This window comes from Homo sapiens, chromosome 5, assembly GCF_000001405.40.
Source record: "Homo sapiens chromosome 5, GRCh38.p14 Primary Assembly".
NCBI lineage: Eukaryota > Metazoa > Chordata > Mammalia > Primates > Hominidae > Homo > Homo sapiens.
This window is the reverse complement of record NC_000005.10, coordinates 179,505,091-179,519,104: the sequence shown is the minus strand read 5'-3', so window position 1 is coordinate 179,519,104 and position 14,014 is coordinate 179,505,091. Positions and strand designations below refer to the sequence as shown.

Sequence of the window (14,014 nt, the reverse complement as noted above, 5' to 3'; positions counted from 1 at the left end):
GTCACTCCCTACTGAATGTAGGAGCAGGGATCTGACAGCCACCTAATGACACCCTAGAACAGCACTCTCTCCTCCGCTCTCCTCCATGTCCCCCTCTGACTCCCGGGAGACCTCCCCAGCTTGCAGTCCCCAGGGCCCTGGTGTCCATAACCCGAGGAAGGGGAGGGGCCCATGAGATCTTGGACTTTCTCACTCTCTGAAAATGAGCAACTGAGAACGAGACTTGACTTTGCTTAGGAAGTATAAACAAATGCGACATTTATTGCCTATCAAATATTAGAAGCAGTTCGTCTATTTAACGTGTGTTAGTATCGGTGTTCCTTTTTATTCAAACTCTCCCTATTGAGCTCAAGAATCAAAGTCAGATAACTTTGTCGATAAATCCCTTCCTTTCTACACCCTTGCTACTCACTGTCTCAAGACCCAAACTCACTGGGACAAGGCGCTGCCCCTCCTGATTCAAGCCTGGTGTCTGCCTCTCACTATGCAAATCAGGAGCCAGACAGCCGCGGAGAGGGCGGCGGTGAGTGCACAGAGCACACGCATGCGTTCGGCTTGCCCCCACGCCGCCCCCGTTATCTCTGTGGGTGTGAAGGTGAGAATTTTTCACTTTTCCAGTGAGTTACTGTACTGCTTTGACTCTCACAAGCGTGTCGACTTGATGGATTTTTGTAAATATAGCCGTCAGCGGATGCCTCTTGTCCCCATCTCGGGAACCATAACCCAGATTCCCAAAGGGGAGCTTGCCCACATGGATGGAAACTGAGGCCCTCAGAGAGGCCATCGGCCTTGATCCCTTGCTCCTATTCAAAGATCTCAACATTATTGCAGCCTTCCTTGGGGCAGCCGGACATTCCCGTGTGGAGGAAGCGTCCACTCACGTGCCATGGGAACTTTGTAGATTTCACTGTGATGCAAACAGCTGCCCGTGAGGCCCTCAGTGCCCAGGGCCCGTTGTTGGGTGCTTTTGAGGGTGGGAGGTGGAGGGGTTTCCATTTTGCTTGGGGGATCAGCATCACCCATTCTTTCTCCTTTTCCTCTGGGCTGGTGCTCAGATGGTGAGAGCACTGTGCTGATGAGGTGGGCCCTGGGGTGGAACCCATGGCCCCCTCTGACTCCCAGGAGACCTGGCCAGCTGCAGCGGCCCCCGTGGACCAGCAGAGGGACAAGAGAGGAGCTGACGTGGAGGAGCCGAGGCCCACTGGGGGCTCCTGGAGAGTCCGTCCGCCTGTGGACAGCAGCTCAGGTGTTCAGCTGCTTCCAGAGAGGAAGCACCTCTTCCTAGACTGAGGCATCGTTTTGGTAAAAAAAAAAAAAAAAAAAAAAAAGTTGATTTTTTTCACCTTGGTGTAAATTTTTGTTTGTAACTATATGTTAGTTGTGACAGTTACCACTATTTGTTTTTCTTTTCTTTTTACGTTTTTGAAATTATTTATAGAGATGGGCTCTTGTTACGTTGCCCAGGCTGGTCTCAGACTCCTGGCCTCAGTGGTCCTTCCACCTTGGCCTCCCGAAGTGCTGGTACTACAGGTGTGAGCCGTGGCACCTGGCCTGTTTTTCTTTATTACCACAGATATTATATGGAGCCTTAAAGCCTCCTGGAGTGAGAGCTAGTTCATAACCATGCTGTTTGGAGAGAAGAAAACCACCTGGAATTCTTGTTCTCCAAAGATGTGGAATTATCATCCCAACAACAGCTGTCCTTCACTCTGTCCGGGGGCCTTCAGGTGTGGCCCATCCACCCCCTCAGTGTTTTCCTCGGTCCTGAGGTCACTCAGGTGTGGCCCATCCACCCCCTCAGTGTTTCCCTCGGTCCTGAGGATGCTCAGGTGTGGCCCATCCACCCCCTCAGTGTTTCCCTCTGTCCTGAGGATGCTCAGGTGTGGCCCATCCACCCCCTCAGTGTTTCCCTCGGTCCTGAGGATGCTCAGGTGTGGCCCATCCACCCCCTCAGTGTTTCCCTCGGTCCTGAGGATGCTCAGGTGTGGCCCATCCACCCCCTCAGTGTTTCCCTCTGTCCTGAGGATGCTCAGGTGTGGCCCATCCACCCCCTCAGTGTTTCCCTCTGTCCTGAGGATGCTCAGGTGTGGCCCATCCACCCCCTCAGTGTTTCCCTCTGTCCTGAGGATGCTCAGGTGTGGCCCATCCACCCCCTCAGTGTTTCCCTCGGTCCTGAGGATGCTCAGGTGTGGCCCATCCACCCCCTCAGTGTTTCCCTCGGTCCTGAGGATGCTCAGGTGTGGCCCATCCACCCCCTCAGTGTTTCCCTCCGTCCTGAGGATGCTCAGGTGTGGCCCATCCACCCCCTCAGTGTTTCCCTCTGTCCTGGGGATGCTCAGCTGTGGCCCATCCCCTTAGTGTTTTACCTCCCACGTTCTCTATTTTTTGTTTCCAATCTTCCCACACAGGTGGAGAGAGGAGGGGATCCAATTGCCTGTGAGGAGGACACGGCTCATGGGTGGACCCTGCAGATTGTGAAGTTCAAGTCACAGCTCCTGGGAAGGTCTCTGTGTGTAAAGATTGTGGGGGCGAGATAGATTCAGGGACCACACTCTGCTCTGCTCTATATCTCTGAGTGTCGATCCAGCTGCCTTGTGACCAGGACACTTGGAAGAACCATGGACCCTGCAAGAGGGCAGGTTCAGAGAGTGAGATGAGCACGCTTGAGGGATTAAAGTGTAACTTGAACCACTGCCTTGCAAACTGCGTGAGGGCATGCAGGTGTGTGTCTGTGCGTGTGTGTGCTGGGAAGATGTTTAGCAGCCTCATGGAGGGGTAACTGACATACAAGAGAACAAGCCAGGCATGGTGGCTCACGCCGTAATCCCAGCACTTTGGGAGGCCGAGGTGGGTGAATCACCTGAGGTCAGGAGTTCGAGACCAGCCTGACCAACACAGTGAAACCGCATCTCTACTAAAACTACAAAAAATTAGCCAGGCATGGTGGCGGGCACCTGTAATCCCAGCTACTCTGGAGGCTGAGGCGGGAGAATCACTTGAACCCAGGAGGTGGAGGTTGCAGTGAGCCGAGATCGTGCCACTGCACTCCAGCCTGGGCAACAAGAGCGAAACTCCATCTCAAAAAAAACAAATTTTTTTGATCAATGTTAACACACGTACGCACCCGCAAAACCATGACCAGGAGCATCACGACTCCCAAAGCTTCCTCATGATTCTTTGGAATCCCTCCCTACAGCCCCTCCCACCCCCCCCCATCCCAAGCAGCCACTGATTTGCTTTCTGTCACAGTCAGTAGATTTGCAATTTCCTTAATACCATGTCTGAGCCCAGTAGGCAAATACTTTCTTTTTATTGGGTGGACATTTCGTGGCATGTTCAAGCTTTTGAATTCAGAGAGTGAGAGGATGAGAAAGAAAAGGCTGGTCTGGGTCACTCCTGGGAGGCCTGGCCCTAAGCACCGTGTGGCTCATGTGCCCTGGAGCCCCTGTGCACCGGTCATCCCTGACTGCCCTGCCGCAAGCTTTATAGCTCCCCCATCACCTTTCCCGGACCAGCTGGTACAATCTCAAACTTTTCACCAATTCTGACATCTAAACAACTAACGCCAGAGACAGGCTCTGTGGGACCAGCAGCTGCGACCTCACCTCCGGTCACTGGAACACTGAGCTGTTAAATGAAAGGTGCGTCCTTCTTTCTCCCTTTCCAGGGAGAATGCTCTGCTCTTCTTCCTGCTGGATCCCTCCTCTACCTGCTTCTCTCCCACCTCCTGCAGCCCCCGGAGCCCCGTGGCGATGCAGGCAGACTCATCTGTACCCTCATTCTGTTTGCAGAACCACATCTCTGGGCTGGCTCTGCCCAAGGACACCACACCTTCTCCATTCCTCTTGCCCTTTCCCCGTGGGGTGCAGGTGGGGCTGGGCCCACGATGGCATCAGGCCCACTCTCTCTAATGCAGGAAGGGATCAGATGCCGGGAGCCATGGAGATTGTCCTCATCCCGATCATCTCCCAGCTTAGCAAATGATGATGAAGACAGTTTTCCCACAAGATAGGCATAGCCTCTGGGACAGTGCCTCGTTTATTTTCTAGCACAAAATAGACGTTAGAACAGTGGGGCTTTGTGGGCATATGGAGATTTTTAAGGCTCCTTAGGAGGCAGGTAAAAATTTCTTCAATAAGACAAAACACTATCCCCAAAGAAAATGATTGATAAATGTGGGGAAAAGCAAGAGAGATCAGATTGTTACTGTGTCTGTGTAGAAAGAAGTAGACATGGGAGACTCCATTTTGTTCTGTACTAAGAAAAATTCTTCTGCCTTGGGATGCTGTTAATCTATAACCTTACCCCCAATCCCGTGCTCTCTGAAACGTGTGCTGTGTCAACTCAGAGTTAAATGGATTAAGGGCGGTGCAAGATGTGCTTTGTTAAACAGATGCTTGAAGGCAGCATGCTCCTTAAGAGTCATCACCACTCCCTAATCTCAAGTACCCAGGGACACAAACACTGCGGAAGCCCGCAGGGACCTCTGCCTAGGAAAGCCAGGTATTGTCCAAGGTTTCTCCCCATGTGATAGTCTGAAATATGGCCTCGTGGGAAGGGAAAGACCTGACCGTCCCCCAGCCCGACACCCGTAAAGGGTCTGTGCTGAGGAGGATTAGTATAAGAGGAAGGCATGCCTCTTGCAGTTGAGACAAGAGGAAGGCATCTGTCTCCTGCCTGTCCCTGGGCAATGGAATGTCTCGGTATAAAACCCGATTGTATGCTCCATCTACTGAGATAGGGAAAAACCGCCTTAGGGCTGGAGGTGGGACCTGCGGGCAGCAATACTGCTTTGTAAAGCATTGAGATGTTTATGTGTATGCATATCTAAAAGCACAGCACTTAATCCTTTACATTGTCTATGATGCAAAGACCTTTGTTCATGTGTTTGTCTGCTGACCCTCTCCCCACAATTGTCTTGTGACCCTGACACATCCCCCTCTTCGAGAAACACCCACAAATGATGAATAAATGCTAAGGGAACTCAGAGGCTGGCGGGATCCTCCATATGCTGAACGCTGGTTCCCCGGGTCCCCTTATTTCTTTCTCTATACTTTGTCTCTGTGTCTTTTTCTTTTCCAAATCTCTCGTCCCACCTTACGTGAAACACCCACAGGTGTGTAGGGGCAACCCACCCCTACAGATACATTGGATGATAGTAAAATTAAGAATTTTTTCATCAATAAGAGAGTAAAAAGATGGGGCCGGGTGTGGTGGCTCACGCTGTATCCCAGCACTTTGGGAGGCCAAGGCGGGAGGATCACTTGAGGTCAGGAGTTAGAGAACAGCCTGAGCAGCTTAGCAAGACCTCGTCTCTACGAAAAATGAAAAATTGGCTGGGCGTGGTGGTGCATGCCTGTGGTCCCAGATACTTGGGAGGCTGAGGCAGGAGGAACACTTGAGCCTGGGAGGCTGAGGCTGCAGTGAGCCATGATTGTGCCACTGCACTGCAGCCTGGGTGACAGAGTGAGACTCTGTCTCTTAAAAAAAGAGGTGGGGAATGGAGGAGGGTGAAAAGATAAATCACATGTAGAGTATAAAGAGAATTCCTGTAAGTTAATAAGAAAAATGCATGCGGGACTTAATACCTAGGTGACGGGTGGATAAGTGCAGCAAACCACCATGGCACATGTTTACCTGTGTAACAAACCTGCACGTTCTGTACATGTATCCCAGTACTTAAATAAAGTTTTTTAAAAAATTAAGAAAAAAGCTGGCAGACCAATAGGACAATGGGTGAAAGAAATGAAGAGGGACAAAAAAGGGAAGGAAGAAAGGGAGGGAGGGGGGAGGGAGGAGGGGGGAAGGGAGAGGAAAGAGCAAATGAACATCCAAATGGCCAAAAAGCATTTAAAACATGCTCAGCCTCATAAGCCATCAAATTTAAACCACAGTGAGAAACCAATATTACACCTACCAGAATTGCTAAAATTAAAAACACTGTTGATACCAAGTTTGGGCAAGAATGTGGAGTAACTGAAACTTCATATACTATTGGGAATGTAAAATAGCACAACTACTTTGGAAAACCCTTGGGTAATACCTACTAAAGGAGACCACACATGTGATCCCCACATTCCACTCTTACGCATAGACCCAAAAGAACTGTGCACTGTGCACGTGTTCACCAAATGACGTGCGACGTGCACTAGGATGTTTATACCAGCACCCTTCACAATAGCCCCAAATTCCAACAGGAGAGTGGATAAGTACCTCTCAGTATATTTATAGAGTAAAATTCTTACAGCACTGAAAATGGATTCACAGCCACCATGCACAGTTGGTGAATCTCAGCAACATACTGTTGAGCAGAAGCAGCCAGACACAAATGAATGCGTACGGCACGATTCTGTTTCTGCGAAGCCCTAAAACAGGCCAAAGAAACATCTGGTGAGAAGTCAGGATAGCGATTATCTTAGTGCTCTGGGGGAGGGTGGCTCTGGTAATATTCTATTTCTTGATCTGAGGGCTGGTGTCCCAGACGTATTCACTCTACGATAATTTACCAAGCTGCCCTCTGGGGATTGGTGGCTTCTCTGTATGAATATTACACTCAATTAAAAAAACACACTCAATAACAAAAACCTAACAATCAAATTCAGAAATGAGCAAGGCTGGGCGCGGTGGCTCACGCCTGTAATCCTCGCACTTTGAGAGGCCGAGGCGGGCAGATCACCTGAAGTCAGGAGTTCGAGACCAGCCTGGCCAACATGGTGAAACCCGTCTCTACTAAAACTACAAAAATTAGCCGGGTGTGGTGGCACATGCCTGTAATCTCAGCTATTTGGGAGGCTGAAGCAGGAGACTCGCTTAAACCTAGGAGGTGGAAGTTTCAGTGAGCCGAGATCACGCCACTGCACTCCAGCCTGGGTGACAGAGTGAGACTCTGTCTTAAAAAAAAAAAAAAAAAAAAAAAAAAAGGCTGGGCGCGGTGGCTCACACCTGTAATCCCAGCACTTTGGGAGGCCAAGGCGGGCGGATCACAAGGGCAAGAGATGGAAACCATCCTGGCTAACACGGTGAAACCCCTTTTCTACTAAAAATACAAAAAATTAGCCAGGCGTGGTGGCGGGCGCCTGTAGTACGAGCTACTCAAGAGGCTGAGGCAGGAGAATGGTGTGAACCCGGGACGCGGAGCTTGCAGTGAGCCAAGATCGCGCCACTGCACTCCAGCCTGGGTGACAGAGCGAGACTCCCTCTCAAAAAAAAAAAAAAAAAAAAAAAAGAGCAAAGGACTCGAATGGACATTTCTCCATACTCAGCATCACTAATCATTAGGGAGATGGAAATGACAACGAGATTCCTTTTCACTCCTACTACATTGACTAGTATCAAAGAAAACCCAGAATATAACGAATGTTGGTAAGGATGTGGAGAGACTGGAACCCTTGTGCACTGCTGGTGGGAATGTAAAATAGTGCCGCCCCTCTAGAAAACAGTAAGGCAGTTCCTCGGAAATTACACCTAGGGACGCTCCAGCAATTCCACTTCTGGGTATATATCCCCCAAAAATTGAAAGCAAGGAAATAAAGAGACACTTGCCCATCCCTGTCGATAGCTGTGTTATTCACAATAGATAAAAGGTGGGAGCAACTCAGCCGGGTGCGGTGGCTCACGCCTGTAATCTCAGCACTTTGGGAGGCTGAGGCAGGCGGATCATGAGGTCAGGAGTTCGAGACCAGTCTGACCTACATGGTGAAACTCCATCTCTACTAAAAATACAAAAAAAAATGGCCAGGCGCGGTGGCTTATGCCTGTAATCCCAACACTTTGGGGGGCCGAGGCAGGCAGATCACCTGAGGTCAGGAGTTTGAAACCAGCCTGGCCAGCACGGTGAAACCCTGTCTCTACTAAAAATACAAAAAAATTAGCTGGGCGTGGTGGTGGGAGCCTGTAGTCCAAGCTACTCAGGAGGCTGAGGCAGGAAAATCACTTGAACCTGGAAGGTGGAGGTTGCAGTGAGCTCAGATTGCGCCATTGCATTCCAGCCTGGGCAACAAAAGTGAGACTCCATCTCAACAGAAAAAAAACAAAAAAATTAGCCAGGTGTGGGGACACGTGCCTGTAATCCCAGCTACTCAGGAGGCTGAGGCAGGAGAATCGCTTGAACCCGGGAGGCAGAGGTTGCAGTGAGCAGAGATCGTGCAACTGCACTCCAGCCTGGGTGACAGAGTGAGACTCTGTCTCAAAAAAAAAAGAATTCTAGCTTGTTGCTTAGTGTGTGTGTGTATACATATATGCGCATGCACACATACACACACATATAAAACGGTGTGTTAAAATACATTATTTCATATGAATGCTGGAAAATCATAGTTTTTTTTTTTTTTTTTTTTTTTGAGACGGAGTCTCACTCTGTCGCCCAGGCTGGAGTGCAGTGGTGCGATCTTGGCTCACTGCAAGCTCCACCTCCCAGGTTCACGCCATTCTCCTGCCTCAGCCTCCTGTGTAGCTGGGACCACAGGCGCCTGCCACCAAGCCTGGCTAATTTTTTGTACTTTTAGTAGAGATGGGGTTTCACCGCGTTAGCCAGGATGGTCTCGATCTCCTGACCTCATGATCTATCTGCCTGCCTCAGCCTCCCAAAGTGTTGGGATTACAGGCGTGAGCCACCGCGCCCGACCAAAAACTTAGTCTTTTAAATAATCATTAATAATAATGATAGGCTGGGCACGGTGGCTCATGCCTGTAATTCTAGAACTTTTGGAGTCAAAGGTGGTCAGATCACTTGAGCCCAGGAGTTCAAGACCAGCTTGGGCAACATGGGGAAACACCATCTCTACAAAAGATACAAAAAAAAAATTAGCTGGGCATGGTGGTGCATGCCTATAGTCTCAGCTACTGAGGAGGCTGAGGCAGGAGGATCAGTTGAGCCCAAGAGGTCGAGGCTGCAGTGAGTGCTGATCTGCTACTGCAGTCCAGCCTGGGTGACAGATTGGGACCTCATCTCAAAAAAAGGGAGAGGGAGAGGAAGAGGGGAGAAGAAGAGGAAGAGGAAGAAAGAAGAAGGAGGAGGAGGAGGAAGAGGAAGAAGAAAAAAGAAGAAAAAGAAGAAGAGAAGAAGGAGGAAGAGAAGAAGGAGGAGGAGGAAAAGAAGAAGAAAAAGAAAGAAGAAAAGGAAAAAGAAAAAAGAAGAAGAAGAAGAACAACAACAACAAGAAGAAGAAATTAATAATAGTAATCATCATCATCATCATCATCTGGGCTTACTTCCAGTGTCACTATGGTTCTATTATTCTGGAGAAAATAAGTCTTGTTTCTCATTTATAACAGAATACATACATGAAATAGGCTAGAGCAGACTGGAGAAATTATTTTGAACCCCGGGGTCTTAGGCAAAAACGTTGTTTGCTAAACTATGTAATTCCTGGAGTCTTGGATGTTGGCGCACCCAGCACTGCGATGCTCTGCACATTGCGTGTGTTTGTGTTTGTAATTCGAACATTGTGTTAGAATGGGCTGACACTGTCACAGTGGGGGACATCACTGGCTAAGCCTTATTTATTCTGGGAATCTGCCTCTTGGGATCTAAATTTTTACATGTCAGAAACAAATGTTATAGGGAAAATTACACCAGTGGACTTCTGAGAACTAAATGCAATGATCATATTCTGAAACACATGTGTCTAGAGTGTGTGCATGTGATCAAGTAGATTCTAGGTACTGCATAACGGTTGCACTTCCTCTGTTTCACTAACGGCGATTTCCAGACGTATGTTTTGAAGTGTTTAAGAAGCAATTTAGAACTCCAGAGAGCATGCATTAGGACACTGGAAAATCTACAAGAAACTGGAGCAACTTGTTTTTGAAGAATGCTTCATGTTAACATGGAGCTGTAAACTGTCTTTGTGAAAGTTGCTGTTCTGATTGCTGTATTTTTCTTCATCTTTCCCAATGAGTACAGCAGTTTTATGTCTACGTTGGCTTCTTTCTTTCTTTCTCCTATCAAAAACATTGTAGCTTTATGAGAACTTTATTTTGTCTTGTTATGGTTCTTTACCTACACCAAAATAAATGCAGATGATTTTCTATTGACATAGGACATAGGAAGTCTTTTCTACTTACTTATCAAGTAATGTAGATTTACAGTCTATTTTCATGAGGTTCTTTCAGAGGATACAAGTTTTTTTGTTTTTGTTTTTGTTTTTTTTTTTTTGAGATAGAGTCTCGCTCTATCGCCCAGGCTGGAGTGCAGTGGCGTGATCGCTGCTCACTGCAAGCTCCGCCTCCTGGGTTCATGCCATTCTCCTGCCTCAGCCTCCTGAGTAGCTGGAACTACAGGTGCCCGCCACCATGCCCGGCTAATTTTTTTTTGTATTTTTAGTAGAGACGGGGCTTCACCATGTTGGCCAGGATGGTCTCGATCTCCTGACCTCGTGATCTGCCCGCCTTGGCCTCCCAAAGTGCTGGGATTACAGGCATGAGCCACCGCGCCCGGCCTAGAGGATACAAGTTTTAACTCTCACACCAAAGCAAAATTTCATCCAATTAATTCATCCAATCATATTTTTAAATATGTTGGGTTCAGCAAAGATATATGCATAGTTATACAGGCATTTACCCTTCATTGCTTCTTATTATTTTTAATTCCATCTAGATATCACCACATAAAAATTCCATTATCATTAAGAAATAAACACAGAAACATCTGCTAGAAACATTTGAACTCACATAGCTGAACTCTAGTTAATGTTTTGATCCTTGAGTAGTTTGAATATGGAGCATGGAATCAAGCCCTGGACAACTGCTTCTGAACACTGCTTCTGCACACTGCTTCTGCACACTGCTTCTGCAAACTGCTTCTGCAAACTGCAAGCAAACTGCTTCTGCACTCTTTTTTTTTTTTTTTTGAGAAGGAGTCCGCTCTGTGGCCGGGGCTGGAGTGCAGTGGCGCGATCTCAGCTCACTACAAGCTCTGCCTCCCGGGTTCACCCCATTCTCCTGCCTCAGCCTCCTGAGTAGCTGGGACTGCAGGTGCCTGCCAACACGCCTGGCTAATTTTTTGTATTTTTACTAGAGACAGAGTTTTGCCATGTTGGCCAGGCTGGTCTCGAATCCCTGACCTCAGGGGATCTGCCCGCCTCGGCCTCCCCGTGTGCTGGGATTACAGGGGTGAGCCACTGTGCCCAGCCAGAAGAAAGTAAGCTTTTTAAGGTAGGACTGTGCATTTCACTTCCTTGTTTTTACCTAGTGATTTCTTTTCTTTTCTTTTCTTTTTTTTTTTTTTTTTGAGACGAAGTCTCGCTCTTGTCCTCCAGGCTGGAGTGTGATGATGCGATCTCAGCTCACTGCAACCTCTGCCTCCTAGGTTCAAGCGATACTCCTGCCTCAGCCCCCTGAGTAGCTGGGATTACAGGCACCTGCCACCATGCCCGGCTAGTTTTGGTATTTTTAGTAGGGATGGGGGGTCTCACCATGTTGGCCAGGCTGGTCTCGAACTCCTGACCTCAGGTGCTCCACCCACCTCGGCCTCCCAAAGTGCTGGGATTACAGGCATGAGCCACCGTGCCGGGCCACCTACAGTGATTTCTACATAACAGGCTTAGCAAAATATTTCTTAACTGTAACAGACTTTTCCAGACAACACTGACAGGATTATTGCCTTCAGATCCCACATGGACCAGGTAAGATTCTTAGGAAAACCTGGCAAAATCAGTGACAGTGATGGTCGCCCTCCCAAAAAAATTGCACTTAGGGGTTATTTTATAAAAAGTACTGTTGTTTGGCTGGGCGTGGTGGCTCACGCCTGTAATCCCAGCACTTTGGGAGGCTGAGGCAGGCGGATCACGAGGTCAGGAGATCGAGACTATCCTGGCTAACACAGTGAAACCCTGTCTCCACTAAAAAAACACAAAAAAATGGCTAGGCACGGTGGCTCACGTCTGTAATCCCAGCACTTTGGGAGGCCGAGGTGGGTGGATCACGAGGTCATGAGATCAAGACCATCCTTGCTAACATGGTGAAACCCCGTTTCTACTAAAAATACAAAAAAAAAAAAAAATTAAATTAGCCAGGAGTGGTGGCGGGCACCTGTAGTCCCAGCTACTCGAGAGGCTAAGGCAGGAGAATGGCATGAATCTGGGAGGCGGAGCTTGCAGTGAGCCGAGATCATGCCACCACACTCCAGCCTGAGCGACAGAGCGAGACTCTGTCTCAAAAAAAAAAAAAAGTACTGTTTTTTGTACCGTTTAAAATCTACTGTGAAATGTTACTGATTAATATATATGTATATATAACACGTATATTTATATATGTATAATATATATGTCTATGTATATATGTATATATCTTTTTTTTTTGAGATGGAGACTCACTCTGTCACCCAGGCTGGAGTGCAATGGTGAGATCTCGGCTCACTGCAACCTCCGCCTCTCAGGTTCAAGCAATTCTCTGCCTCAGCCTCCCAAGTAGCTGGGATTACAGGTGACTGCCACCACGCCTGGCTAATTTTTTTTTTTTTTTAGTAGAGACGTGGTTCTACCATCTTGGCCAGGCTGGTCTTGAACTCCTGACCTCACGATCCACCTGCCTCGGCCTCCCAAAGTGCTGGGATTACAGGCGTAAGCCACTGCGCCCGGCCTATATATATGTATATATCTTAAATTGAGGCGTATGAGAGGGATTTACACAGGAGAGAAATCCCTATATTTTCCTATTCAGTAGCCTTTCCGCCTATACTGAATAAATAGCAACATCATTTAACAAAGAAATTTTCATAAATATTTCTGTTCAATTTTCCAAGAAATAGAAAAACTGTCTTTTTCTCGAACCAGCCAGTGAAATCCACACAGTGTAAAGGGTGTCAGGGTCTCCAAAGCAGCCCAGAAACCCCATGCGCCTGGAAGGAACATGAGCCTCAAGACAATGCTGAGAACCCCCAGGCTGAGCCCTCATCCTGCACTGAAGCATGGGGAGACCAGGAAGAGGAGCGGCCAGCCCAGGGCCACGAAGGCATTGGGAGCAGTGGCTGCAGTGCTGTCCTGAAATTCTCTGTCCAGCCAGCGAGTCTTTCTCCTGTCTGTTCACACAGGGTGGTGGCTCACCAGGGGAGCAGTCCTGCGCCTTCCTCTCAGGCTTTCCTCCAGCATGGCTCTTTTCATGGAATCCGGTGTCTTCAGGGCCAAGGGGAGGTGCCCACCTGGAGCCCTCTCCCACAACCCCTGGAACATGCTCTGGGTACCCCAGGCCCCACGGTTCCCTGCCCCAAAAGCCCCAAGCCCCTTTCAGGGCCTAGCGCAGGCCTCTTGCATGGATCTCTCCTGGAGGGTGGACCACAGAGCTAGTAGGCCTGAGAGGTGGGCATAAAACAGCTGTTGGCAGGGCTGCTTGGAGCCGGGGCTGACCAGAGGTCGGGGTGCTGGGCCCTCCCCACTGCAGTCCAGCATAGAACCCGGCGGCGGCCAAGAATTCTCAATGGGAATAAAGTCACTTTAACAGCAGATTTCTCCAGGGTGGAGCTAGAACATATTTTATTTACCAATTTGTTCATTAATTTATAAGTTGATTTATAAATATTTAGACCAGCAGTTCTCAAACATTTTGTGCTGAGGATCCCTTTGCATTCTAAAAGATTGTTGAGAACCCCAAAGAGTTTTTGTTCGTGTGGGTTACATCTATCAATGTTTACCATATTGTAATTTTAAACTGAGGCATTTTAAAAATATTTATTCATTAAGTTTTAGAAAAATAACAATAAGCCCATTATACAGTTATACAAGTAACACACTTTTTGTTTTGTGTTTAAGAAAACTAACTCTATTTTCCAAGACAACCAAAAAACTGTAGTGAGAAGAGTGGTTGGAGAGCTTTGCAAATCTCTTCACGGCCTGGATGAAGAGCAGACAGCTGAGTTCTCATCTCTGCTCGGCCTTCAGTCCGTGTTGCGATGTGTTGTCGGGCTGAAGCATACGAAGAAATTCCAGACTCCCGCAGAGAGGAAACTAGAAAAGGGAGCCATGTTTCAGAGCTGTTTCAGATCTTTTTCAGAGAGCTGCGGGTGTTCTGATTTGATGCT

The 14,014-nt window shown here is 48.2% G+C and overlaps 1 pseudogene, besides 3 other annotated features; it reads left to right on the top strand.

Moving 5' to 3' along the window:
* Window positions 1-776: an enhancer, noted in NCBI's record as "H3K4me1 hESC enhancer chr5:178945330-178946105 (GRCh37/hg19 assembly coordinates)". NCBI's record gives its function as "activates a minimal SCP1, AML or CMV promoter by ChIP-STARR-seq in primed H9 embryonic stem cells {active_cell/tissue: H9 hESC(primed)}" and the evidence as "EXISTENCE:reporter gene assay evidence [ECO:0000049][PMID:30033119]".
* On the top strand, window positions 485-12,564 carry LOC100128622 (uncharacterized; annotated as a pseudogene).
* Window positions 4,134-4,981: an enhancer, noted in NCBI's record as "OCT4-NANOG-H3K27ac-H3K4me1 hESC enhancer chr5:178941125-178941972 (GRCh37/hg19 assembly coordinates)". NCBI's record gives its function as "activates a minimal SCP1, AML or CMV promoter by ChIP-STARR-seq in naive H9 embryonic stem cells {active_cell/tissue: H9 hESC(naive)}" and the evidence as "EXISTENCE:reporter gene assay evidence [ECO:0000049][PMID:30033119]".
* Window positions 9,634-9,683: a silencer, noted in NCBI's record as "silent region_16729". NCBI's record gives its function as "represses an Ori minimal core promoter by ATAC-STARR-seq in GM12878 lymphoblastoid cells {active_cell/tissue: GM12878}" and the evidence as "EXISTENCE:reporter gene assay evidence [ECO:0000049][PMID:35858748]".
* Window positions 12,565-14,014: the final 1,450 nt, after the last annotated feature.